The 27,745-nt window shown below is 40.9% G+C and overlaps 1 protein-coding gene across 4 annotated transcripts in view; it reads left to right on the forward strand.

Annotated features, from left to right (window-relative positions):
* The window catches only part of CSE1L (chromosome segregation 1 like), a 50,638-nt gene that overhangs the window by 9,573 nt on the left and 13,320 nt on the right, over positions 1–27,745 (forward strand). For 2 of the 4 annotated variants that reach the window (NM_001362762.2, NM_001316.4), the window contains exons 2-14: positions 2,569–2,664; positions 7,318–7,460; positions 10,308–10,409; positions 10,481–10,626; positions 11,306–11,396; positions 12,831–12,938; positions 14,321–14,413; positions 16,402–16,569; positions 16,684–16,813; positions 18,901–18,966; positions 19,434–19,636; positions 21,096–21,180; positions 22,677–22,738. In NM_001362762.2, coding sequence (NP_001349691.1) covers positions 2,580–2,664; positions 7,318–7,460; positions 10,308–10,409; positions 10,481–10,626; positions 11,306–11,396; positions 12,831–12,938; positions 14,321–14,413; positions 16,402–16,569; positions 16,684–16,813; positions 18,901–18,966; positions 19,434–19,636; positions 21,096–21,180; positions 22,677–22,738 — 1,482 coding nt within the window. In that variant the 5' untranslated portion in view covers positions 2,569–2,579. The remainder of the gene's footprint in view (positions 1–2,568; positions 2,665–7,317; positions 7,461–10,307; positions 10,410–10,480; positions 10,627–11,305; positions 11,397–12,830; positions 12,939–14,320; positions 14,414–16,401; positions 16,570–16,683; positions 16,814–18,900; positions 18,967–19,433; positions 19,637–21,095; positions 21,181–22,676; positions 22,739–27,745) is intronic. The other 2 variants (NM_001256135.2, NR_045796.2) reach the window with 2 other exon arrangements.

Here is a 27,745-nt window from a genome sequence, read left to right on the forward strand (position 1 = left end):
AGTTTTTTTTCATAATTTGAATTATGATATCCTTGAACTTTTTCCACTGACCTTTTTTACATTTTACAAAAATTGTGTGTTTAGTTTTTTTCTTCTTTTTCATAGAAGCCTCTGGTTAATTTGGTGCATGATTTCCCTGAAAGGGCTCCACTTTCCCATCTACATGTGGCTATATATCTAAAAGCTGCCTAATGGAATCTAAGCATAAGTGGAGTTTTCTAAAATCGCTTTTTTTTTTTTTGGAGACAAAGTCTCGCTCTTTCTGAGGCTGGAGTGCAGTGGCACAATCTTGGTTCACTGCAGCTTCTGCCTCCAGGTTCAAGCGATTCTCCTGCCTCAGCCACCCAAGTAACTGGGATTACAGGTGCATGCCACCATGCCCGGCTGATTTTGTATTTTTAGTAGAGACGGGATTCACCATGCTGGCCAGGCTGGTCTCAAACTCCTGACCTCAGGTGATCCACCCCCCTCAGCCTCCCAAAGTGCTGGGATTACAGGCGTGAGCAACCGCGCCCAGCCTAAAATAGCTTTATTGAAGTACAATTTACATACTATAAGATTTATCCATTTTAAGTGAACTGTTTGGGAAATGTTAGTAAATTTATGTAGATTATGCATGTGTCACCACAGTCCAATTTTAGAACACTCTGTCACCCCCAAAAAGTTCCCTCAGTTTGCACCTAATTTTATCGTCTCACCAACAAGTTGGAGACCATAAAGCTCAATTGATAAGATTCCCAGGATTTGTGATCTGTTGGTAATCATGCACATCTGACACTTGTACTCTGTGTATGTGCTGTTTCTGTGTGTTTTTTCATTTTCCTTTTAATTGAGTGGGTTCAGACTCCTTTTTTTCCCATTTTTAATGGACAAAATTGTATATATTTGTGGTATGCATGTTTTGAAATATGTATACATTGTATAATGGCTAAATCAAGCTAATTAACATATTACTTCACATGCTGTGTGTGTGTGTGTGTGTGTGTGTGTGTGTGTGTGTGTGGTGAAAGCACTTAAAATATACCCAGTAATTTTCAAGTGTACAATACATTATTATAGTCACCTTGTTGTACAATAAATCTCTTGAACTGTGTATTTCTTAGCCTATGTTGTTAGTAGTTAAATCGACGTAGGCCATTTAGTTAGCTTAAAATTTGTGGGCTGGGCACGGTGGCTCACGCCTGTAATCCTAGCACACTGGGAGGCCAAGGCAGGAGGATCACTTGAGTCCAGGAGTTTGAGACCAGCTTGGGCAACATTGTGAGACCCTGTCTCTACAAAATTTTTTTTTTAATTTGTCATCTGTTAGATGTGAAGTTTTTTGGTCAGTTATAAGCATATTATGTGATTTAGTTTTGTTTAAGCTTTAAATATGAAAACTTCTAGAATCATAATCTTAGCTGTCATCTTCTGAACTCTAGAATTTATCTCCCTAGATGCAAATTCTTAGCACTTTGTAGTATTTGCGATTACATGTTGTACATGAAGGAATTTCTTGTTTCTTTAATCTCAGAACTTTATGTGGGATATTTATTTGCTGTTTAAAATTTTAATTTCTCGTTGTGGGGCCTTTTTTTTTTTTTTTTTTAAGACAGGTCTTGCTCCATCACCCAAGTTGGAGTGCAGTGGCACCATCTCAGCTCACTGCAACCTCTGCCCCCAGGCTCAAGACATCTTCCCACCTCAGCCTTCCGAGTAGCTGGGACTGAAGGCACCCACTACCATGCCTGGCTAATTTTTTGGGTTGGTTGGTTGGTTTGTTTTGAGACGGAGTTTTGCTCTTATCGCCCAGGCTGCAGTGCTATGGTGCGATCTCAGCTCACTGAAACCTTTGCCTCCCGGGTTCAAGCGATTCTCCTGCCTCAGCCTCCCAAGTAGCTGAGATTACAGGCTCCTGCCACCATGTCCAGCTAATTTTTGTATTTTTAGTAGAGACGGGATTTTACCATGTTGACCAGGCTGGTCTCAAATTCTTGACCTCAGGTGATCCGCCTGCCTCAGCCTCCCAAAGTGCTGGGATTACAGGCATGAGCCACCATGCCCGGCTTCAATTTTTTTGTAGTTTTGGTAGAGATGGGGTCTCACCCTGTTGACAGGCTGGTCTCTTAACTCCTGAGCTCAAGCAGTCCACCCACCTCAGCCTCCCAAAGTGTCGGGATTTACAGGCCTGAGCCACTGCCCGGGCTCCTTATGGGGCTTCTTTAATAAGTTCCTCCAGTGATTTTTTTTTTCTTAACCTTTATTAGCCCTTTCCCATAGCATTAAATCATATAAACTTCTTGGTGACTTCGAGCAGTCCTTCAGCTTTTTTTTCTATGACTATCTTTTTGAAATTTTGGGATTTTTTTTCATCTCCCTTATCACAAAATTGTCTCACTATTGTTTTTGGGGGAAAAGGCACATCTCATTTGCTGGACTCTTGTCTCAGAGTCAGGTTTACTGCCCATATAAAAAACAACAGATGGATGACTTTCAGAGAGAATAACCCATAATATAAACGGATTTCTTTAAATGTAAATCACTTTTTCCGTAAGTGACCAGTTATCCAAACCTTATTTTATATTTTAGATCCTATAGCAATGGAACTCAGCGATGCAAATCTGCAAACACTAACAGAATATTTAAAGAAAACACTTGATCCTGATCCTGCCATCCGACGTCCAGGTAAAGAAAATAAACGTTTTTTGGTTGATTAATTCCTTCAGGACAGGTGAGAGAAACCTATGTATTATCTGCCTCCTTATAAATATATTTTAAAAAATTCATACTTGGGTTCTCAAGCGTAGTTTATAAGTGTTACAGCTGCTATACCATGGTGTGTTGTTTCTTTTTTGAGTAAAATAGCTTTTATTTGGCATCTTCTGGGATTAAAAAGTACTAGTTTTCGGATAAAAAGTACTGACATGTTTAGAATGCTTTGTCTTTGACCTTTTCCAAAATACCCACTTAAAACATGCCTGCTTTAGGCCGGATGCGGTGGCTCACACCTGTAATCCCAGCACTTTGGGAGGCTGAGGCAGGCGGATCACGAGGTCAGGAGATGGAGACCATCCTGGCTAACACGGTGAAACCCCGTCTCTACTAAAAGTACAAAAAATTAGCCGGGCGTGGTGGCGGGTGCCTGTGGTCCCAGCTACTCAGGAGGCTGAGTCAGGAGAATGGCGTGAACCCCGGAGGCAGAGCTTGCAGTGAGCCGAGATTGCGCCACTGCACTCCAGCCTGGGCGACAGAGCAAGACTCCGTCTCAAAAAAAAAAAAAAGCCTGCTTTAGAGATAAAATAATTAGGGCATAGAAAGGAGAGTAATTGCCTAAAAAGTGATTAAGTGAATGAAGCCAAGTAATCAGTTACTGTCTCTTAATTTTAATTTTCTATTGGGTTTGATTTAACTAATATATTTTAAGACCTAGAGCTTTTTTTTTCCTTCCTGAATCTGACCAGATTCCATTAAAAACGTAGAATTAAAATATTGAACTCAGGTGTTCACAGGACTCAGCTGTTAAGTTAAATGAGGGAGATAGGCCAAGTGGAGACTGGTAATATCAGGAGAATACATGCCCTGATTAAGTGGCAAGTACTTTTTGGAACTAGCTAATTTTGGGGATTCAGACTAGTTTTGCAAGATCAGATTTCCAGTTTTGCTTGAAAAATAAGGATATTTATATGAAGTGCCCTCATTTTTAAATGTTAGCAAGTAACTTCAAAAGATTTTGGGGCCGGGTGCGGTGGCTCACGCTTGTAATCCCAGCACTTTGGGAGGCCGAGGTGGGCAGATCACGAGGGCAGGAGATCGAGACCATCGTGGCTAATATGGTGAAACCCCTTCTCTACTAAAAAATACAAAAACTTAGCTGGGTGTGGTGGCACACACCTGTAGTCCCAGCTGCTCAAGAGGCTGAGGCAGGAGAATTGCTTGAACCTGGGAGGTGGAGGTTGCAGTGAGTTGAGATTGCGCCACTGCACTCCAGCCTGGGTGACAGAGCGAGACGTAGTCCCAAAAAAAAAAATATTTTGAAACACAGCCAGGGTTGGTGGTCACGCCTTTAATCCCAGTAATTTGGGAGGCCAAGGCAGGAAGATCCCTTGAGTCCAGGAGTTCGAGACCAGCCTGGGCAACAAAGCAAGACCCTGTCTCTACAAAAAATTTAAAAATTAGCCAAGTGTGGTGATGTGTGCCTGTATTCCTAGCAACTGGGGAGGCTGAGACAAAAGCTTCACTTATACCCAAGAGGTCGGAGCTGCAGTGAGTTATGATCATGTCAGTGCACTCTAGCCTGGGTGACAGAGGGAAATCTTGTCTTAAAAAAAAAAAAAAAAAGGCCAGGTGCATTTGCTCACGCCTGTAATCCCAGCATTTTGGGAAGCCAAGGCAGGCGGATCATGAGGTCAAGAGATCTAGACCATCCTGGCCAATGTGGTGAAACCCTGTCTCTACTAAAAATACAAAAATTAGCTGGGCGTGGTGGTGCACGGCTGTAGTCCCAGATACTTGGGAGGCTGAGGCAGGAGAATTGCTTGAATCCAGGAAGCGGAGGTTGCAGTTAACCGAGGCCACTGCACTCCAGCCTGGTGACAGAGCAAGACTCCGTCTCAAAAGAAAAAAAAAAATTGGACAGGCACATTTGCTCACGCCTGTAATCCCAGCACTTTGGGAAGCCCAGGAGGGCAGATCACCTGAGGTCAGGAGTTTGAGACCAGCCTGGCCAACATGGTGAAACCCTGTCTTTACTAAAAATACAAACATTAGCCAGGCATGGTAGCATGTGCCTGTAACCCCAGCTACTTGGGAGGCTGAGGTGCAAGAATCGCTTGAACCCAGGAGGTGAAGGTTCCAGTGAGCCAAGATTGCCCAACTGCACTCCAGCCTAGGTGACAGAGTGAGACTTTGTCTCAAAAAAAAAAAAAATTGAAATACAGTGCAAGCCAAACTACTTCTGGGCCAGATATATCTTGTGAGCAGTCAGTTATTGATCCTTGATATGGGCCATATTAAAATGCTCTTGACCTGTTTCTTCAAAACTTACCAATGTGCATGCTCATAGAGGATGTTGGAAGGGTTCCATGAGGAAGAGAATGTGTGTTATATATTATGTATGATGACTAGAATCATGAACATGTTAATGCATCTATCCTCTTCTAGAAAAGTCTTTGTGATTTTTGAGAGGAAAAATTAGTTTATTAGTGTATAAAGAAGTAATGTGTTCCTGGATAAAGGGAAGTTAATGGCTCTAATCTTTAATCTTCTTAGACTTTCAAAGAAAGCTGTTGCCAACACTATTAAAAATTTTTTTTTTTTTTTTTTTTTTGGAGACGGAGTCTCCCTCTGTCGCCCAGGCTAGAGTGCAGTGGCGCCATCTTGGCTCACTGCAAGCTCCGCCTCCCGGGTCCACGCCATTCTCCTGCCTCAGCCTCCTGAGTAGCTGGGACTACAGGCGCCCGCCACCATGCCTACCTAATTATTTGTATTTTTAGTAGAGACAGGGTTTCACCGTGTTAGCCAGGATGGTCTCCATCTCCTGACCTCGTGATCCACCCGCCTCAGCCTCCCAAAGTGCTGGGATTACAGGCATGAGCCACCGTGCCCGGTGGAAAAATTATTATTATTATTTATTTATTTATTTATTTATTTATTTATTTTTGAGACAGAGTCTCACTCTTGCCCAGGCTGGAGTGCAGTGGCGCCATCTTGGCTCACTGCAAGCTCCACCTCCCGGGTTCACCCCATTGTTGTGCCTCAGCCTCCCGAGTAGCTGGGACTACAGGCGCCCGCCACCACACCCGGCTAATTTTTTGTATTTTTAGTAGAGACGGGTGTTTCACCAGGTTAGTCAGGATGGTCTCGATTTCCTGACCTTGTGATCCACTCGTCTCGGCCTCCCATAGTGCTGGGATTACAGGTGTGAGCCACCGCACCCGGCAATTATTTTTTTTTTAATAATGTGTGAGGCAAGAGTTCTGTTGCTTTATGTATTCAGGACAGAGTATAAAAATAATCTGGTATTTCTGGGAAGTTAGGAACATAGCATTTCTCAGGGATCGAGACTGACTGACTAGACTGACTCAACTAGACCTTTTGAGACTCCTTGAGTGCGCAGAAACATATGCATGTGAATATTGTGATAAGTTGAAAGAAATGAACACAGAAAGGAACAGACTCAAACTCACTTCCTGGATATTGATTACAATTTAGGAAAGAGACTTGGCAATTTATATGGGCTTTTCCTCAAATCATGGATGTAGTGTGTTGCCCTGTACAAAATGCTGGCTACTAAGTGGAGGAAACAAATTGTTCTGTACTCATATAAAACCATAGTATGTCCCCTCCTGAAAAACATTTTTCAGTTTAACAATCTTCATCCTTCAAGAAAGACATGATAAGCACAAAGCAAGGAGAGTTTGAAAATATCAGTGAAACTCTTGGGACTCAGTCAGAAAGAGGGAAGGTGTTAAATGATACATGAAATTAATTTTTCAAAAAATATTGGAATATTGGGTGTTGCCCTATGAAGCCAAAGGTAGAAAAAAATTAAGAGAAATACTGTACTGCCATCACATGTGATCATTAACCTAGGAAATTTATCCCAGAATGTAATCTGGGTTGAAAATCTATTGGTAAATTTTTTGGATAAATTCATTGCTGGTATTAAGAAGTTTTTAGGTTTTTTTTTAGTTCGACAAGAAAGCTTAGGGCTGGTAAGGTAAAATAAGGACTGCACTAAAACTTTCAGTAGTGAAGCCTAGCTGTGTGATCTTGAACAAGTTACTTAACCTTAGTGCCTTGGTTTTTTAAATGCTATCTACTTTTCTGGGTAATAGTGACAACTAAATGAAATTTTATAATTTTACATATATAATATATATGTAAATCGTTGGACCCATTTGGCTAATAATAATATATTAGGATGAATTGACTCATTTGCTCTTCATCACTAGCCTATAAAAGAAATATTACTACTAATAGTACTAATAATACTCCTTTCTGAAATAAGACCTGGGTATATGAAGTCTTGAAGCCACTTAATCTGCCTGGGAAGCAGCTTCTCTTGCAGATGAGATGATCATCCAATTAGGCCACTGTATAGGTTTGTGAGAATCATGTGAGTTAATTGATGGTAAAGTTATTTGAAAACTGAAGCATTATATAAGTTTAATGTAACATATATAATCCACTTAATAGATAAGAAAAGTGAGGCCCTGTAGACCCACAAATAACCTAATCTTTTCTCTTTTTTTGATTTTTTTTTATATATATATATTTGATATATATAAGGTGGAAAGATTTTTATCTTAGTCTTTTAACATGAAAATTCTTTTACAGCTGAGAAATTTCTTGAATCTGTTGAAGGAAATCAGAATTATCCACTGTTGCTTTTGACATTACTGGAGAAGTCCCAGGATAATGTTATCAAAGTATGTGCTTCAGTAACATTCAAAAACTATATTAAAAGGAACTGGAGAATTGTAAGTATTTTGTGAATACATAATTTAATACCCTGTATGTTTATAAGGTTTATATAAGCAGTGTTCTTCAAAGATAAGGCACGTGCTTGTAGTCCCAACTACTCTGGAGGCTGAGGCGGAAGGATCACTTGAGTCCAGGAGTTCAAGGCTGCAGTGAGCTATGATTGCACCACTGTACTCTAGCCTTTTAGTGACAGAATGAGACCTTGTCTCAAAAAAAAGGATTCAGATATGGATCAAAGATAAAATTAAACAGGACCCTTTTCCAAAGCTTCTGTTATTTCATTTGAATTTATATAAATTTGTCCAGCTTCATACCTCGGGTTGCTAGGGAGTGAGACTTGGTCTTAATCTCCATTATGTTTGGAATTTATGCTTTACTCACCGCCTACTGAAGAGACATTGTGGGAAGACAGTCTGAATAAATGAAGTGATTTCTGATGTTGGAAAAATAAAGCTGAGAAGAAATCAGATACATAAAACATTTGCAGAATGCAAAATAATTTAGATTTCAACTTTTTGATAAGGTATTTTGCCCTATGTCTTGTGGGATATGTATATATATACTAATTTTGAGATTAAACCTATTTTATAACAGGTTTAATGATTAGTAAATTATAAATTAAGAAACAGGCATTTTTTTTCCTTAGCTTAGGACAGTGATTCTCAACTGGGGGCAGTTTGGCTCACCAGGGGACATTTGGCAGTATATTTGGAGACATCATAGCTGGAGGATTGCTACTGGAATCTAGTGGGTAGAGGCCAGAGATGCTGCTAAGCATCCTACAATGCACAAGATAGCTTTCCACAACAAAGAATTATCTGAGCCAAAATGTCAGATTGAGAAAGCCTGGCTCATGATAGAGAAAAAGATGAGGCTTTTCTATAGTGATAGCAGTTATGATGTTACAAAGTATTAGCAGTTGACAAAAATCATCAGTTTATCTAAAAAGTCAACTTTAAACTGCTCAAAAACATCTTAGAGTCTTACTTTTTTTCTCATTCCATAAAAGAGAGAGTAAATATTGTTTTAAGCCTGTATGATTTCTCAAGTATCACCATGAGTGGTAAAGAAATCTTAGAGGCCGGGCTTGGTGGCCCATGCCTGTAATTTCAGCACTTTGGGAGGCTGAGGTGGGTGGATTGCTTGAGCTCAGCAATTCAAGACCAGCTTGGGCAATAAAGTGAGATCCCATCTTTCCAAAAAATACAAAAATTAGCGAGGCATATGGTGGTGCACGGCCTGTAGTCCCAGCCATTAGGGAGGCTGAGATGAGGGGATCACTTGTGCCTGGGAGGCAGAGGTTGCAATGAACTGAGATGGTGCCACTGCACTTCAGCTTGGGCAACAGTGCCAGACACTGTCTTTTAAATCTCAGAATGTTTAAAAGTCCATCTCTACTGGTAGACATGCCAGCCCTCTCCCTCTATTTTGATTTGTAAAACTAGTGAGACTTAACAGAATCTCTTTGGGTGATATAATCTAGGATGCATTCTAACTAGTAATGGTCAAGAAATTTTCACAGAGGGCTGGGTATGGTGGCTCACACCTGTAATCCCAGCACTTTAGGAGGCTCAGATGGGAGGATTGCTTGAGGCCAGGAGTTGGAGACCAGCCTGGACAACAAAGTGAGACCCCTCTTCTCTACAAAAAAATTTAAAATTAGCCAGGTGTGGTCGTGTGTGGTGTGCATCTGTGGTCCTTGGGAGGCTGCAGTGGGAGGGATTGTCTTGAGTCTGGGAGGTGAAGGCTGCAGTGAGCCAAGGTTTTGTGCTACCCTCCAGCCTGGGTGACAGATGGAAACCCAGTCTCAAAAAAAAAAAAAGAATAAAAAAAATTGGAAAGATTTTTGTTCTAAAGTGAGAGTTAAATTGAAGCTTTTGAGGATGTGTATGGATTAAGTAGCATATATCTGTAAAGATTTTAATTATGTGTCCTGATTAGTTTACATATGAAATGAAAAAAAAATTTTTTTTTTTTTTTTTTTTTTTTTTTGAGAGGGAGTCTTGCTCTGTTGCCCAGGCTGGAATGCAATGGTGCGATCTTGGCTCATTGCAGCCTCTGCCTCTCAGGTCCAAATGATTGTCCTGCCTCAGCCTCCTGAGTAGTTAGTGTTACAGGTGCCCACCACCATGTTCAGCTAATTTTGTATTTTTAGTAGAAATGGTTTCACCATGTTGGCCAGGCTGGTCTCAAACTCCTGACCTTGAGTGAGCCATCGCACCTGGCCTAAAATGGAAATTTTTTTTTTTTTTTTTTTTTTTTTTGAGACAGAGTCACTCTTGTTGCCCAGGCTGGAGTGCAGCGGCACCATCTCGGCTCCCTGCAACCTCCACCTCCTGGGTTCAAGCAATTCTCCTGCTTCAGCCTCCCGAGTAACTGGGATTATAGGTGCCTGCCACCATGTCCGGCTAATTTTTGTATGTTTAGTAGAGACATGGTTTCACCATGTTGGCCAGGCTGGTCTCAAACTCCTGACCTCAGGTGATCCACCTGCCTTGGCCTCTCAAAGTGCTGGGATTATAGGCGTGAGCCACTGCGCCCAGTCTAAAATGGAAATTCTTAATTGGCATCAAGGAGTAAGGGAAGTTCACTAATTTGTATGTAAAATATTTGCATTTGGGAGGCAATGTACGTTTTTCTGGGAAAAGGATTCACGCTGTCATCAGATTATTGAAGGAATCTGTGACCCATTCATGTAGAGGGAAACTGAAGAAAGACCAAACCTTCCTCTATTTGTTTTCTTAGAAAATTAGTAAATAAAAAAACAGTTATGTTTTACCTAAAATCATGTGGACATGAATGTGGATTTTGTGTTACTTCCTCAGTTACTGCTTTGCTTTTAGGTTGAAGATGAACCAAACAAAATTTGTGAAGCCGATCGAGTGGCCATTAAAGCCAACATAGTGCACTTGATGCTTAGCAGCCCAGAGCAAATTCAGAAGCAGGTAATGTCGCTCCACTTTTTAGATGGGCTCCTCTGTAAAGCTCTGATCTAATTAATCTTTTCCTCTCCTAGTTAAGTGATGCAATTAGCATTATTGGCAGAGAAGATTTTCCACAGAAATGGCCTGACTTGCTGACAGAAATGGTGAATCGCTTTCAGAGTGGAGATTTCCATGTTATTAATGGAGTCCTCCGTACAGCACATTCATTATTTAAAAGGTATTGATGCATAGATTCATGTTTTTAAAATACTTTCTAAAGTTTTATTTGCTTGTGTAAACAGTTGTGTTTTTGTGACTGTTGTCATTCCTTTGAATCTGATCATCTTGGAATGAGAGCAGAAGTTTCTGTATTGCGTTTGTTTCTTCTCAACTAGGATGTTTATTTCATATTGCTCTATTACCTGTGAAATACTTAGTCTTGATAAACTGCTTGATCCCTTTAAAAAGAAAACTGGCTGGGCATGATGGCTCACACCTATAATCCTAGCACTTTAGGAGGGCAAAGTGGGCGGATCACCTGAGGTCAGGAGTTTGAGACCAGCCTGGCCAACATGGTAAAACCCCGTCTCTACTAAAAATACAAAAAAAACTAGCCAGGCATGGTGGTATGTGCCTGTCATCCCAGCTACTCAGGAGGCTGAGACAGGAGAATCACTTGAGCCTGGGAGGTGGAGGCTGCAGTGAGCCGAGATCAAACCACTGCACTCCAGCCTGGGCGACAGAGCGAGACTCCGTCTCAAAAAAAAAAAAAAAAAAAAAAAAAGAATTCCCTTTGAATTTCGGAATTTCGGAAACCCATCTATTCATAGATGTCCAATCAGCATCTCTCCTTGAAGACCTAAAGTGAGTAAATAAAAAAAACTTGTAAATTTATCTGTTTTACCTTAATTTTCTAGATACCGTCATGAATTTAAGTCAAACGAGTTATGGACTGAAATTAAGCTTGTTCTGGATGCCTTTGCTTTGCCTTTGACTAATCTTTTTAAGGTATGGAATGCATCTTGGTGATATTTTTAAATTAATATTTTAAATTGCTTGAATGTTTGTATACATGTTAAGAGAATGCTTTGAAAGCTTATTTGATAGATAATGTTTAGAGCATTTCTTTTGAAAAATTTCAAACCTACACAGAAATAGAGATGCTATAGTGAACTCCCATCTATTATTACACAAATTTAATGGTTAGCAACGTTTTATTTTCTCTGTTCCCTTTCTTAGGAATGTTATAAAAGCAAATCCCAAGCATCATATCATTTCACCCAAGTATTTTAAAGTATGTGTCTCTAAAGGAAGAAATACATATTTTTATTTGACTATGTTTGGAGTTTAATTAATTATATATTTATACATTATTTTACAGTTTACAGGATACTTTCCTGAATGTGTTCTTGGTGTTTGTGAAAATCCTATAAGATTTAAAGAAATATATATATACTTTTTTTCTTTTTTCTTTTTTAAAGACAGGGTCTCACTCTCATTGCCCAGGCTGGAGTGCAGTGGGGCATGATTATAGCTCACTGCAGCCTCAACTACCCAAGCTCAGGTGATTCTCCCACCTCAGCATTCCAAGTAGCTGGGACTACAGGTGCACACTACCATGCCTGGCTGCTTTTTCTCTTTTTTTTTCCCTCTCTCTTTTTTTTTTTTTTTTTTTTTTTTTGAGATGGAGTTTCGCTCTTGCTCACTGCAACCTCCGCCTCCCGGGTTCAAGCAATTCTCCGAGTACACTGGGATTACAGCCTGTGCCACTGGGCCTGGCCAGTAAAACCTGTTAATCGCATTTAGAATAATAAAGAATTGGAAACAACCTAAATACCAAGTGGCAGATGAATTGTTTAATAAGAGCATATAAAGATAGTTTTGTGTAATATATTTTTATATATGCACAGATTGGGAAGACGTAGTTCAGAATATTAACACTGGACTTTTTAGTGCCATTATGAACAGTTCAAAAATACATACTTTAACCTATTTTCCACAATCTCTTAAGTGACTGTATTATTTAAAAGCCAAGGCTGGGCATGGTGGCTCACGCCTGTAATCCCAGCACTTTGAGAGGCCGAGGCGGGCGGATCACGAGGTCAGGAGATCGAGACCACCATGGCTAACGTGGTGAAACCCCGTCTCTACTAAAAATACAAAAAACAAAAACAAAATTAGCCGGGCGTGGTGGCAGGCACCTATAGTCCCAGCTACTTGGGAGGCTGAGGCAGGAGAATGGTGTGAACCCAGGAGGTGGAGCTTGCAGCGAGCCGAGATTGTGCCACTGCGCTCCAGCCTGGACGACAGAGCAAGACTCCGTCTCAAAAAAATAAATAAGTAAAATATGAATAGTCTCAGCTTAGTGCAAGGCTGTTTCACTAAGATCAGCATGCTGGGTTTATGATGCACTAAAACCATGTTGCTAAATTCCTTTCCAAGGCCACTATTGAACTCTGCAGTACCCATGCAAATGATGCCTCTGCCCTGAGGATTCTGTTTTCTTCCCTGATCCTGATCTCAAAATTGTTCTATAGTTTAAACTTTCAGGTAAGTTCATTTGATTTCTTGCTTTTGGTTCTTACTCTTTGATTTTAAATAGAGTTTTCTTTCTGTTTGATAAAGACTTCTTTGCCAGCATTGATTTTTCTGAAAGAAAAGGTTTTTTCTGACTCTATTTATCTATAGTGTTCTGTTCTACAGTAGTTCTTTCAGATGCTAATGAGATGTTTCATGGAAAAAAGCAGTATTCTCTTATATCTAGTAGGTTAGCAAAACCCCACATCCTAACTCACTCTTGGAGAGTCACCCTGTACACTGTTTTACTGGTGGCATTAAGAAGCTAGATTTCTGAGGCCTTCCTCTTTCGTTCATTTATATGGGTATTAACATTTGGGGAATCATGTTTTGGTTAGGGGTTGCTGTCCAGCTTATACAAAATGACTTTTATTGGAAGCCATATGAGGGAGACAAAAGACTTGAAGTACCAGACTTTGAAAGGGGTAGGAACTAGTAGTATTTCAGAGGAAACATAGCCACAGGGCTATAGCAGGGAATGCCTAGTTACCCTGTTGCTACTGAGATAGTGGCCTCCAATCATTCTTTCTGTTCTTAATCATTAATTCAAGATTCAGGACCAAGAAAGGGGTGTTAATTGGTACAAACTGTTGCTATACTGCGATGCAAGGAGGGCCTAGCCCATTCATTGTTTGTAGCCAGTACCTGGACTTACCTTCACAACATGAATAAACTCATAGTGGTAGGGAAAGCATTCCCCAAAAGGAAATTGGGTTGTTTTAGCTAGAATAGGAGATGAACAGCCCAAAAGGACATGTCCCACATCAGTGTTCAGCTGGATAGCAGTTTGAGAAGTTCTTACTTAAATGAGTACTACTATTTTTGCTTACACCTTTTGAATTCTGAGAAGTCAGGTTTAATGAAGCTCTTGAGAACTTGTCTGGCAGGGAGACCAAGGAAAGAGGCATAATCTACCCTCAGGGGACTTGTACCCTCATTAAGAAGGCAGTACTATGCCACAAGAAATCAGTAACTAAAAGACAATTAGTTTATCTGCCTTGGTGGTCATCTTACAATAAACGTAGTTCAGAAAAGAAAGGGGATGTATTAGTATGCACTGAGCTTGAGCTTTGTAAGGAAAGTCTTCATATAGTCTTAGCTGAACCTTGAAGGAAGATTTAGATTAGGATGAGAACTAGAGGTGGCATCATTTATAGCATACAAACAGAGGCAGAAGTCAGAATGCTTTATGCAGCTGCCAGATGTAGCTGGAGCAGAGAATTCTTGTCAGAATAGGTAATGCTCAGGCTGTGAAGCCTGTGTATAAAATGTTTTGTCCACGTGGTAAGGGAACTTATAAAAGTGGTGTTCTTAATATTTTAATCAAAAGTTTCAAGTCAGTGTTTATTCTGTAGGATCTCCCTGAATTTTTTGAAGATAATATGGAAACTTGGATGAATAATTTTCATACTCTCTTAACATTGGATAATAAGCTTTTACAAACTGATGTAAGTATTTAAAATGTTGCCTGAGTGGTCTTTTTCTTTCATTAAGAGTTATTTGGCTACAGTCTGGAAACCTATTTACTCTTGCATTGTTAAAAGATAAAATTTCAATACTGTAATAATATTTGATTCTATTTGATGTTACATGTTTGGTGTGTGTAGTATACAGAATTACTCTTATCATGGGCTTGGCTTAAGCCATAGTGTACATATAAGGCTGTTTCATTACATTATTGAAAGTAGGTCTTTAAAGTAGTGACATTATGGATATTTCATGAAATAAAATTATTTTTCATTGAAGATACTAAGAAAACTTAAAACTCTATAATGGTAGCCCCTTTTTAAAAATCATCTGGCTAGGCATGGTGGTTCACACCTGTAATCCCAGCACTTTGGGCGGCCAAGGTGGGGAGGATCCCTTGAGCCCAGGAGTTCAAGACCAGCCTTGGCAATGTAAGGAGACCCCCATCACTACAAAAAATAAAAATAAAATTAGCCAGATGTGTTGGCTCATGCTAATGGTCACAGCTACTCAGAAGGCTTAGTTGTGAGGATCCCTTGACCTTGAGCCCAGGAGGGCAAGGCTGCAATGAGCTGTGACCATGCCACTGCACTCCAGCCTGGGAGACAGAGGGAGACCTCGTCTCAGAAAAAGAAAAAATTATCCACAGCTCGAGAAAGAGAGAAAATGGTAAAAGATTGTAATTTGTAAATATTTCTGATATGGGTTTTATATTGTGTACTTTTAAACATATAACACTTATTCTGTGCTACTCATTTGTTAATATATTTATGACCTTCTTTCCGAAGAGACAAAAGACAAAATATTAAAAATATTTCAATACCAAATAAACTAAAAATTAGAATTGGTGATTCAAATCAGGTTTTAAGAGTGGGGTACAGAAAGAAATTGTTACTATCGTTGTACAACAGATTTTGTCTCAGAGTTTGACTATATTAATAGGAACTTTAAAAGATGTAGCTCTCATAAAATAATTATTTCAGTCCAATGGGAGGGAAAAACACTCCTTCAGAAAACAAAACTTTTCTTCACACAAAAGTCACAAGGAAATTTTTTGGATAGAATTCTTACAAGGACCTTTTTGCCCAGTTAACCATGTGCTACCTTGTGCTACTATTTATGCCTTAAGTAATCAGTGTGAGGGAGTTTTGGTTTTGGCTTTGGTTTTTGTTCTTACTCTGATGTCTTCCCTTGTCTCACTCTGTCACCAAGGCTGGAGTGCAGTGGCATGATCATGACTTACTGCAGCTTCGACCTCCCTGGGCTCAAGTGATCCTCCCACCTCAGCCTCCCAAGTAGCAGGGACTATGGGTATGCACCACCATGCCCAGCTGATTTTTTTTATTTTGGGGGCTTGCTGTGTTGCCCAGGCTAGACTCAAAACTCCTGGGCTTGGCCCGTCGCAGTGGCCCACGCCTATAATCCCAGCACTTTGGGAGGCCGAGGCCATCCTGGCTAACACGGTGAAACCCCGTCTCTACTAAAAAAAAAAAATACAAAAATTAGCCGGGCGTGATGGCGGGTGCCTGTAGTCCCAGCTACTTGGGAGGCTGAGGCAGGAGAATGACGTGAACCCAGGAGGCGGAGCTTGCAGTGAGCTGAGATCGCGCCACTGCACTCCAGCCTGGGCAACAGAGGGAGACTGCGTCTCAAAAAAAAAAAAAAAAAACCACTCCTGGCCTCAGGCCATCCTCCAGCCTCAGCCTCCCAGAGGGTTGGGATTACCGGCGTGAGCCACTACACTCAGCCAGAATATACTGTTTGAATCTAATACGGAAATATTTTGTAATTCAGCAACTTATTTGAAAGACTTGGTGAAAAGATTGGTGGTGGCATAGCTGTAGTTTACAATAACTGATTTGATTTGGATTTAATTGATAAAGAGTCTAGTTCAGGAATTTCAGTTACTCCTCTTACTTATGTTAGCATTAGAGTTGTATGTTGGAGTTTTTGTTTTCTTTTATGTGAGGATGAAGAGGAAGCCGGCTTATTGGAGCTCTTAAAATCCCAGATTTGTGATAATGCCGCACTCTATGCACAAAAGTACGATGAAGAATTCCAGCGATACCTGCCTCGTTTTGTTACAGCCATCTGGAATTTACTAGTTACAACGGGTCAAGAGGTTAAATATGATTTGGTAAGATGATGGTGGAGACAAATAATTAAAAGACATTCTCTCCCTATCTCCTCCAAGAAATAAGCTGTTGAGTTTTGCTTTTAAAAATATTCTTGTTTTTGTGTTTTGTTCCAGTTGGTAAGTAATGCAATTCAATTTCTGGCTTCAGTTTGTGAGAGACCTCATTATAAGAATCTATTTGAGGACCAGAACACGCTGACAAGTATCTGTGAAAAGGTTATTGTGCCTAACATGGAATTTAGAGGTAATTATGGCAAAAGTATATTAGTATAAATCTACTAAGTCTGTGTTTGTTTTTTGTAACATATTCAGTCTAATTCATTTATTACTGGATAAAACTTGTATGTCATTTATTTCTTATTTTCTAAACCAAGACAGAAAATGTAGTATCTGTAATGAGTTTTGTTGTGCCCTGTGAGGGTTTTCTCATGGAAATATTAAATAAGACTTCAAAAATTCCTTTACACTAAGAAGATAAACTATCTGGAATTTCTATTTAGAGAAAGAATTTGATTTTGTTTCATTTATTATTTCAATGAATTTTTAGCTGGCTTTATTTATTTATATATTTATTTGAGACAGGGGTCTCGCTCTGTCACCCAGGCTGGAGTGCAGTGATGCAATCTTGGCTCACTGCAACCTTAGCCTCCCAGGCTCAAGTGATCCTCCTACCTCAGTCTTCTGAGTAGCTGGGACCACAGGCACACATCACCATGCCTGGCTAATTTCTTGTATTTTTGGTAGAGACAGGGTTTCACCATGTTGTTCAGGGTAGTCTCAAACTCTTGAGCTCAAGCAGTCCACCCGCTTTAGCCTCCCAAAGTGCTGGGATTGCATTTCTGAGCCACCTCGCCCAGAAATAGCTGTTTTTAAACAATCGACTTGAGAATAGAAATGATAACTTTATAAATACAAGGTTGAAGCCCACTTAGTTTGTGCTTAAGGTTAAACTATAGTGCTAAGAGCCTATATTTATAAAATGTATGTCCTTGTTCTAACAGTTGTGAAGAACAAGTAATGAAGGTGGGAGGGATTGTGTTTTTTGTTTTGGGGACAGGGTCTCACTGTGTCACCCAGGCTGGAGTGCAGTAGCACAGTTATGGCTTACTGCAACCTCAACTTCCCAGGCTCAAGTCATTGTCCCACCCTGGCCTCCTGAGTAGCTGGGACTACAGACGTGCACCACCATGCTCAGCTAGTTTTTTATTTTTTATAAAGATGGGGGTCTTCCTATGTTGCACAGGCTGGTCTCAAACTCCTAGCTTCAAACAATCCTTCTGCCTCAGCCTCTCAAAGTGCTGGGATTACAGGCATGAGCCACCATGCCAGGCCAAGATTTTGTTTTATATCAAAATAGTTATTAGATCAGTGGTTTTCAAATTACATCTGGAACAAAATAAGGAAATTAAGGACAATATAGCGTGAGATTTTATTTCCTGTTGTGTTTTCATAAAAATATGTTTAAAGGATAAATCTTCTGGCTGGGTGTGGTGGCCCATACCTTTAATCCCAACACTTTGGGAGGCTGAGGTGGGAGGAACACTTGAGCCCAGGAGTTAAAGACCAGCCTGGCCAAAATGGCAAAACCTTATCTCTACAATAAATAAATTAGTTGGGTATGGTGGCATGGGCCTGTGGTCCCAGGTACTCAAGCAGCTTAGGTGGGAGTTTTGCTTGAGCTCAGGAGGTGGAGGCTGCAGTGAGACATGATCATACAACTGCAGTGTGTGTGTGTGTGTGTGTGTGTGTGTGTGTGTGTGTGTGTAGACTTTTTTTTTTTTTTAATTTATATGATAAAAATAGAGATGAGATCTCGCTGTGTTGACCAGGCTGGTCTCAAACTCCTGGGCTCAAGCGATCCTCCCATTTCAGCCTCCCAAAGTGCTAGGTTACACGCGTGAGCCACCATGCCGGCCATTTCTGACATTGTCCACTCTACTTATTTGTTGTTGAAATGACTTTAATGAAATAATAGTGATTAAAATTAGGTTGTTGGTATTTTAATGTTCTTATTTGGTGAAATTAAAAGTTAGCATTCTGATACTGATCCCTAACATTTTTGACAGTTGCAGGTATAATCCAATTCTGGGGAAACTGTCACATTAGAACAAGTGAGCCTATCTCATAGTTGTGTGAATTACCTAATACCTCACCTTTCAGGGTAGCATTTGCTGCTCTAGATAATGATTAAGAGTATATGAAGTAGTCATCTGATGGGAACGAATTCTTTGCTGTAGAACAAGGCAGTTTTACATACTCTTCTGCATTCTCAGCTGTAAAGTACAGTGACGTCTTTTGGAGTGTTATCTGAAATATCATCTCTCCTTGTAGCTGCTGATGAAGAAGCATTTGAAGATAATTCTGAGGAGTACATAAGGAGAGATTTGGAAGGATCTGGTGTGTATCTTGGTTTTTTAGTTACTAGTCTCTTAGCAAGCCAGTTTTAAGGTGGTTCTCTTTCTAGTAAATGGGAGAAGTGGGATTGAGAATAAGAGTGTTTTTTCAGCGGGCTTTCATTGAGAACTGTTGTCTTTCTTCAACTTGTCTTAAAAAGCTCTTATATGACCTGAATGAAAATATCAAAAGTTGAATCATTTGTCTGTTCTTACATAGTATTTATCAAAATTCTGTGATTCTGTGACCTCTTTAGTTTCATTTTGATTTTGTATTTCTTGGGGGCGGGAATGTTTTTTTCATTGTTTGTGTTGCTGATAGCTATTGGGTGGCCCTTTGTTTTTCGTTCTTTTTTTTCCGTTTTACAATCGTAGCCAAATTATTCCAGGCAATTTGTTTTCTTATAAATTGGATCAGCTTGTTGGTGGTTGTTTTTTTTCCCCATAATATATTTTCTTTTCATTTCATAGATATTGATACTAGACGCAGGGCTGCTTGTGATCTGGTACGAGGATTATGCAAGTTTTTTGAGGGACCTGTGACAGGAATCTTCTCTGGTTATGTTAATTCCATGCTGCAGGAATACGCAAAAAATCCATCTGTCAACTGGAAACACAAAGATGCAGCCATCTACCTAGTGACATCTTTGGCATCAAAAGCCCAAACACAGAAGGTAAATATTTTTAATGTGGTTTTGTTTCTAAAACAGACATCAGTGACACCCACACAAGTCAAAAAGAAATAACGTCTCTGATAATAGAGCTTACTCTGCCAGATAACCTATTCTGATTAAGATTTATATAATCTCTGAAGATGGCTTTATGTTGATGTATTGAGCACTTAAGTTTCTTATAGACCAGAAAATTGATAGATGGCCACACTTGTTACCTTAGCTGAGACCCGCTGTATCAAATATGCTTAACTTAAACTTAGCTGTTCTTTAATTGAGGAAAGTTTCTTTATTGTCTATTAGTATAGTCTTATTTTACATTTTTATATTTTTGAGATGGAGTCTCACTTTGTCACCAGGCTGGAGTGCAATGGCGTGATCTCAGCTCACTGCAACCTCCACCTCCCGAGTTCGAGCGACTCTCCTGCCTCAGCGTCCCAAGTAACTGGGATTACAAGTGTGCACTACCACACCTGGCTAATTTTTGTATTTTTAGTAGAGACAAGGTTTCACCATATTGGTCAGGATGGTCTCAAATTCCTGACCTCGTGTGATCCTCACACCTCAGCCTCCCAGAGTGCTGGGATACAGGTGTGAGTCACCGTGCCTAGACAGTATAGTCTTATTTTATATTTTATACATAAGCAGGTTGTGTTTTGTTGTTGTTGTTTTGTTTTGTTTTGTTTTGAGACGGAGTTTCGCTCTTGTTGCCCAGGCTGGAGTGCAATGGCACGATCTTGGCTCACCGCAACCTCCGTTTGCCGGGTTCAAGTGATTCTCCTGCCTCAGCCTCCCGAGTAGCTGGGATTACAGGCATGCGCCACCACCCTGGCTAATTTTGTATTTGTAGTAGAGATGGGGTTTCTCCATGTTGGTCAGGCTGTTCTTGAACTCCTGACCTCAGGTGATCCACCTGCCTTGGCCTCCCAAAGTGCTGGGATTACAAGCATGAGCCACCATGCCTAGCCTAAGCAGTTCATGTTTTGAAGTGTCCCTCTCTCTCTTTTTTTTTTTTTTTTTTTTTTTTTTTGAGACGTTGTCTTGCTCTGTCATCCAGGCTGGAATGCAATGGCAACATCTCAGATTACTGCAACCTCTGCCTCCCGGGTTCAAGCAATTCTCATGCCTCAGCCTCCCGAGTAGCTAGAATTACAGGTGCATGCAACTACACCTGGCTAATTTTTTGTGTTTTTAGTAGAGACGGGGTTTTGCCATGTTGGCCAGGCTAGTCTTGAACTCCTGACTTCAAGTGATCTACCCGCCTCGGCCTCCCAAAGTGCTGGGATTACAGCCGTGAGCTCCTGTACACAGCCAGTACAGTCTCATTTTATACATAAGCAATTTGTATTTTGAAGTGTTCATCTCCATTTTAACATGGTTTTCTAAAATTGCCTGAATTTCTAATGTGATAGATATATACAGGTATTTTGTTATTTTACTATGTTATGAATTTGCTTTTCAGCATGGAATTACACAAGCAAATGAACTTGTAAACCTAACTGAGTTCTTTGTGAATCACATCCTCCCTGATTTAAAATCAGCTAATGGTGAGTTGTGAAATTCTTGCTTTTTTTACAGCTTGCCACACTATACCTGAATTCAAAAAACAGCTTCCTATCCTTGTTCCCTTTTGTTCTTTTTTTTTTTTTTTTTTTCTTTTGAGATGGTGTCTTACTCTGTTACCCAGGCTGGAGTGCAGTGGCACAGTCTCTGCTCACTGCAACTCCTGCCTCCTGGGTTCAAGCGATTCTCCTGCCTCAGCTTCCCAAGCAGCTGGGACTACAGGCACGTACCACCATGCCCGGCTAATTTTTGTATTTTTAGTAGAGACGGGGTTTCCCCATGTTGGCCAGGCTGGTCTCAAACTCCTGACCTCAGGTGATCCACCTGCGTCGGCCTGCCAAAGTGCTGGGATTGCAGGCGTGAGCCTCCATGCCCTGCCTATTATTTCTTTTATTGAATAAAATCTCAAATGGTTTCCCCAGATCTTGTCCATGTGAAATTAATTATTGATAAAGAAAATATTGCTTGATTAGGAGGAAAATAGGAATAAATACAACTAAACTGTAACTCAGCTTTGCTACCTAGTGTATAAATAAGGATTATACATTGGCTTCCTTTTCTTTTTTATTTGAAAGACGAATTCTTAAAAATTGGAGTACATTTCAAAGTACTAGAAAATTGATAAATATTAAGGATATCTTTTGGCCGGGTGCGGTGGCTCACACCTGTAATCCCAGCACTTTGGGAGACTGAGGCGGGAGGATCGTGAGGTCAAGAGATTGAGACCAGCCTGGTCAAAATGGTGAAACCCCGTCTCTACTAAGAATACAAAAACTAGCCGGGCGTGGTGGCGTGTGCCTGTAATCCCAGCTATTTGGGAGGCTGAGGCAGGAGAATCGCTTGAATCCAGGAGGCAGGGGTTGCAGTGAGCCGAGATCGTGCCACTGCACTCTAGCCTGGGATACAGAGCGAGACTCTGTCTCAAAAAAAAAAATTAAGGATAGTTTCTGATGTTTATGAATGTATTGATCTAGATCCAGATATATTCCTTTTTAAAAAAAATATTTTAATGTAGGAAATTTATGTACACCCAAAGGTGAAGAGAATATTGTAATGAGCTCCCATGTGACCATCATTTAGCTTCAAGAATTATTAACATTTGGTGATCTATTCCTTTCATTAATTTATTTCCCTACCCACTAGAATAATGTAAAGCAAATTCCAGCTAGAGAGACATGTTTCTAATTCAGAATAGCTTCACTTCTGGGAATGTAGGTAGACATGCTCACCGATGCATGGTCCAGCTCATTTTTACTCAATTATGTAATATGTGTTCCTTAGTCATGAAACAGGCATGGGGAAAAATAAAATCATTTATAATCCTACCAAAATTAATGACTAAATAGTAAATCATAATATAATTAACTGTGCTTTAATTACTTGACATTTTATCTTTTTTTATAACTCTGATGATGTCACTAATTTGGAAGTAATGATCCTTACCACTTAAGTAACTGTGGCTTTCTGTTTTTTTATATAGTGAATGAATTTCCTGTCCTTAAAGCTGACGGTATCAAATATATTATGATTTTTAGAAATCAAGTAAGTAGCTTTTTATTTGTTACACGCCACTTAATCTCTTTAAGAGTTTTATTATGTACCACCTTCTCATCTACTGTGCAGTCATTTTATATCCACATCTAACAAAATTAACAATGATTTCTTTATAACTTAGAATTTTAGACCATGCTTAATTTTCCTCAGATGTCTTTTTGCAATAATAGTAATAGAATTGGGATCTAGATAATGTCCACACATTGCTTACAGTTGATTGTGTCTTAAGTCTCTTAATTTACAATAGAGAGGTCCTTCTCTGCCACTTTTTGTTTGAGATGGAGTCTCATTCTGTCACCCAAGCTGGAGTGCAGTGGCACCATCTTGGCTCACTGCAACCTCTACCTCCTGGGTTCACGTGATTCTCCTGTCTCAGCCTCCCAAATAGCTAGGATTACAGGCACCTGCCACCACACCTAGCTAATTTTTTGTATTTTCAGTAGATCCGGGGTTTCCCCATGTTGACCAGGCTGGTCTCAAACTCCTGACCTCAGGTGATCTGTTCACCTCGGCCTCCCAAAGTGCTGGGACTACAGGTGTGAGCCACTGCACCCAACTGCCTTCCTTTCCTTTTATTTATTTATTTAAAAAAAATTTTTTTTTATTTTTTTGAGACGGATCTCACTCTGTCACCCAGGCTGGAATGCAGTGGCCTGATCTCAGATCACTGTAACCTCTGCCTTCCGGGTTCAAGTGATTCTCCTGCCTCGGCCTCCCTAGTAGCTGGGATTACAGGCATCTGCCACCACGCCTGGCTGATTTTTTGTATTTTTAGTAGTGATGGGGTTTCCCCATGTTGGCCAAGCTGGTCTCAAACTCCTGACCTCAGGTGATCCACCAGCCTTGGCCTCCCAAAGTGCTGGGATTACAGCTGTGAGCCACTGCACCTGGCCTCTACCCTTTCTTATGCTTGTTGTTGGAGAAAACACTCATTTATCTTAGAGACTTTCTCACATTTTACTTTTGGCTGATTGCACCTTGAATCTCTCAGTATTCAAGGGGTATTGGTTCCAGGACGCCTGAATATCCCAAAATTGATGAATACTTAGGTCCCACATTTGGGCCTGCGGAATCCTCATATATGAAAAGCCAGCCTTCCACATACAGATTTTACATCCCAGGAATACTGTGTTTTCTATTTGCATTTGGTCTAAAACAAATCCAGCCAGGCATGGTGGCTTGTGCCTGTAATCCCAACACTTTGAGAGGCTGAGGCAGGCAGATCATTTGAGGTCAGGAGTTCAAGACCACCTTGGCCAACATGACGAAACCCCATCTCTACTAAAAATACTAGCTGGGTGTGGTGGCACATGCCTATAATCCCATCTACTCGGGAGGCTGAGACATGAGAATCACTTGAACCCAGGAGGCGAAGGTTGCAGTGAGCCAAGATCATGCCATTGCACTCCAGCCTGGACAACAGAGCAAGACTCAAACCCGTGTTGTTCAAGGGTCTCCTGAAGTTTATGTTGTCCCTCTAGTCCCCATATTTCTATATTGGTAAATCTGGGGGCTTGATTAGACTTAGATTCCTTGGTCGGGGGTGACACAAGAAAGCATCATAGGTATACTTTCTGTTTCATTTTATCAGGATATACACAATATCTGGTTGTTTTGTTTTTTTTTATTTTTTTTGTTTTTTTTTTTTTGCTCACTGCAAGCTCAGCCTCCTGGGTTCACGCCATTCTCCTGCCTCAGCGTCCCAAGTAGCTGGGACTACAGGCGTCAGGCACCATGCCTGGCCCTGGTTATCAATTTTTAATGATGTTAAGACAGATCAGTGGATTCAGATGAAGGAGAACGTTACATTGTCAACATTTTTTAAATAGCATTTTAAAAATTGAGATATACTTTATTCTTTTTTTTGGAGACGGAGTTTCGCTCTCGTTGCCCAGGCAATGGAACGATCTCGGCTCACCGCAACATGCGTCTCCCGAGTTCAAGCGATTTTCTTGCCTCAGCCTCCTGAGTAGCTGGGATTACAAGCATCCACCACCACGCCTGGCTAATTTTGTATTTTTAGTAGAGACGGGGTTTCTCCATGTTGGTCAGGCTGGTCTCGAACCCCCTACCTCAGGCGATCCGCCTGCCTCGGCCTCCCAAAATGCTAGGATTACAGGCATGAGCCACCGCGCCCGGCCTTATTCATTTATTTTTGAGACAAAGTCTTACAGTCTGTTGGCCAGTCTAGAGTGAACTACTACAATCATAGCTCAATGCAGCCTTAAACTTGTAGGCTCAAGTGACCCTTTTGCCTAAGCCTCCCTGAGTAGCCAAGACTATAGGTGTGTGCCACACCACCTGGCTAATTTTTTATACTTTTTACTTAGTTTATTGTTTCTTTCTTTCTCCTTCTTTTTTTTTTTTGAGAGGTAGTTTTGCTCTGTTGCCCAGGCTGGAGTACAGTGGTGTGATCTCGGCTCACTGCAGCCTCCACCTCCCAGGTTCAAGTGATTCTCTTGCCTCAGCCTCCTGAGTAGCTGGGATTACACGTGCCTGCCACCATACCCAGCTAATTTTTGTCTTGTTAGAAGAGACAGGGTTTCACCATGTTGGCCAGACTGGTCTCAAACTCCTGACCTCAGGTGATCCACCCCTGCCTCGGTCTCCGAAAGTGCTGGGATTATAGGCGTGAGCTACCACGCCCGGCCCATTTCTTTATTTTTTGAAACAGGGTCTCGTTCTGTCGCCCAGGCTGGAGTGCAGTGACATGACCACAGCTCACTGCAGCCTTGAACTCCTGGGCTCAAGCAGTCCTCCCACTTTCAGCCTCCCGAGTAGCTGGAACCCAGGCACGTGCCACCACACCCAGCCATATTGCATTACTTTTAAAAAATCAATTGAGAAAAATTATAGAGAATACCTGCTTCCCCAGTTAGAGTATGTTGGAATTTTGCCAATCTTAAATGGTATCTCATTGCAGTTTTAATTTACGTTTGTTTTATTTTGAGTTCAGTTAAGCATCTTTCCACTTGAAGGGTCCATTTTCATTTCTTTTCGGTGAACTGTGAATTCATCTTCTTTTGCCCATTTTTCTATCTGATTATTGGTCTTAATTTTTAGAGAACGTGTAGTTTTTCTTCTGATTCTGAATGCCTAGGTCACTTTAATTGTACTGAGAAAAAAATCAAAACTTGCACTCATCTTATTTCTTTGATGTCTTTGCCCAGTAACAATGGTGCCATCTTGCAAAATATTTTAAACACACAAGCAGGAATAAAACAATATGATGATTACTGAAATAATCCTCACAAATCTTAAAACTCCAGGCCATATTTATGTATACATACATATACAATGGAGGTATTCCAGGTGCTCCCTGCCCAGTCAGTCCCTTTCTCTCTATAGGTAATTACTGTAGTGAATTCGGTGTATTTGACACCCATGGAAGTGCTTTTCTTACGCTTTCACTACGCATTTATGTTTCTGCAAAAATTATTTAGTATTATGTAGGTTTTAATTTTTTTTTTTTAGATGGAGTCTTGCTCTGTTGCCCAGGTTCAAGCCATGCTTTTTTTATACTTTCACTATGTGTTTATGTTTCTGCAGAAATTATTTAGTATGCTGTAGGTTTTAATTTTTTTTTAGATGGAGTCTTGCTCTGTTACCCAGGTTCAAGCCATTCTCCTGCCTCAGCCTCCCAAGTAGCTGGGACTGCAGGTGCCCACCACCACGCCCAGCAATTTTTTGGTAGAGACAGGGTTTTGCCATCTTGGCCAGGCTGGTCTTGAACTCCTGACCTCAGGTGATCCACCCGCCTTGGCCTCCCAAAGTGCTGGGATTACAGTCGTGATTCACCACGCCTGGCCTAGGTTTTAAATTTTTGTTTGTATAAATGACATCATACTATGGGTTTCATTTTTCTGTTTTTTGTTACTTGTTTGTTTTGAGACGGAGTCTTCGCTCTGTCGCTCAGTGCAGTAACACAATCAAGTCATGCAGTGGCACGATCTTGGCTCACTGCAAGCTTCACCTCCTGGGTTCATGCCATTCTCCTGCCTCAGCCTCGCGATAGCTGGGACTACAGGCTACCGCCACCATGCCCGGCTAATTTTTTTTGTATTTTTTAGTAGAGACGGGGTTTCACTGTGTTAGCCAGGATGGTCTCGATCTCCTGACGTTGTGATCCGCCCGCCTTGGCCTCCCAAAGTGCTGGGATTACAGGCATGAGCCACCGTGCCTGGCCTTTTCTGTTTTATTTTGAGAATGAGGTCTTGCTCTGTTGCCCAGGCTGGAGTGCAGTGGTGCGATCATAGCTTACTTCAGCCAGGAAATTCTGGACTCAAGCGATCCTCCTGCCTTAGCCTCCCTAGTTGATGGGATTACGGGCATGCTCCACCGTACCCACCTACATCATGACTGTTTGTCCTTAACATCTTTTTTTTTTTCTTTTTTCTTTTTTTTTTCTGAGATGGAGTCTTGCTCTGTTGCCCACGCTGGAGTGCAGTGGTGCAGTCTCAGCTCACTGCAACCTCCGCCTCCTGGGTTGAAGCCATTCTTCTGCCTCAGCCTCCCGAGTAGCTGGGACTACAGGCGCATGCCACCACGTCTGGCTAATTTTTTGTATTTTTAGTAGAGGTTTCACCATGTTAGCCAGGATGGTCTTGATCTCATGACCTCGTGATCTACCCACCTCGGCCTCCCAAAGTGCTGGGATTACAGGCGTGAGCCGCCACTGCGCCCGGCCTAACATCATTTTTGAGTTATTCATTTAGTGCCTAAAGCGATCCAGCTACCTCAGCCTCTCAAGTTGCTGGGACTACAGGAATTCACTACCATGCCCAGCTAATTTTTTATTTAATTTTTTCTTAATAGAGATGAGGTCTCACTATGTTGCCCAGGCTGGTCTTGAGCTCCTGGGCTTAAGCAATTGTTCTACCTTGGCTTCCTGAAGTATTGGGATTATAGACAGGAATGAACCACCACACCCAGGAGGCTTTTCTAGTTTAGACTAATGAATGTTTCAAATTTAGAGGTTTTTAATGAAGATTGTTC

The sequence above is a fragment of the Homo sapiens genome, chromosome 20 (assembly GCF_000001405.40).
Source record: "Homo sapiens chromosome 20, GRCh38.p14 Primary Assembly".
NCBI lineage: Eukaryota > Metazoa > Chordata > Mammalia > Primates > Hominidae > Homo > Homo sapiens.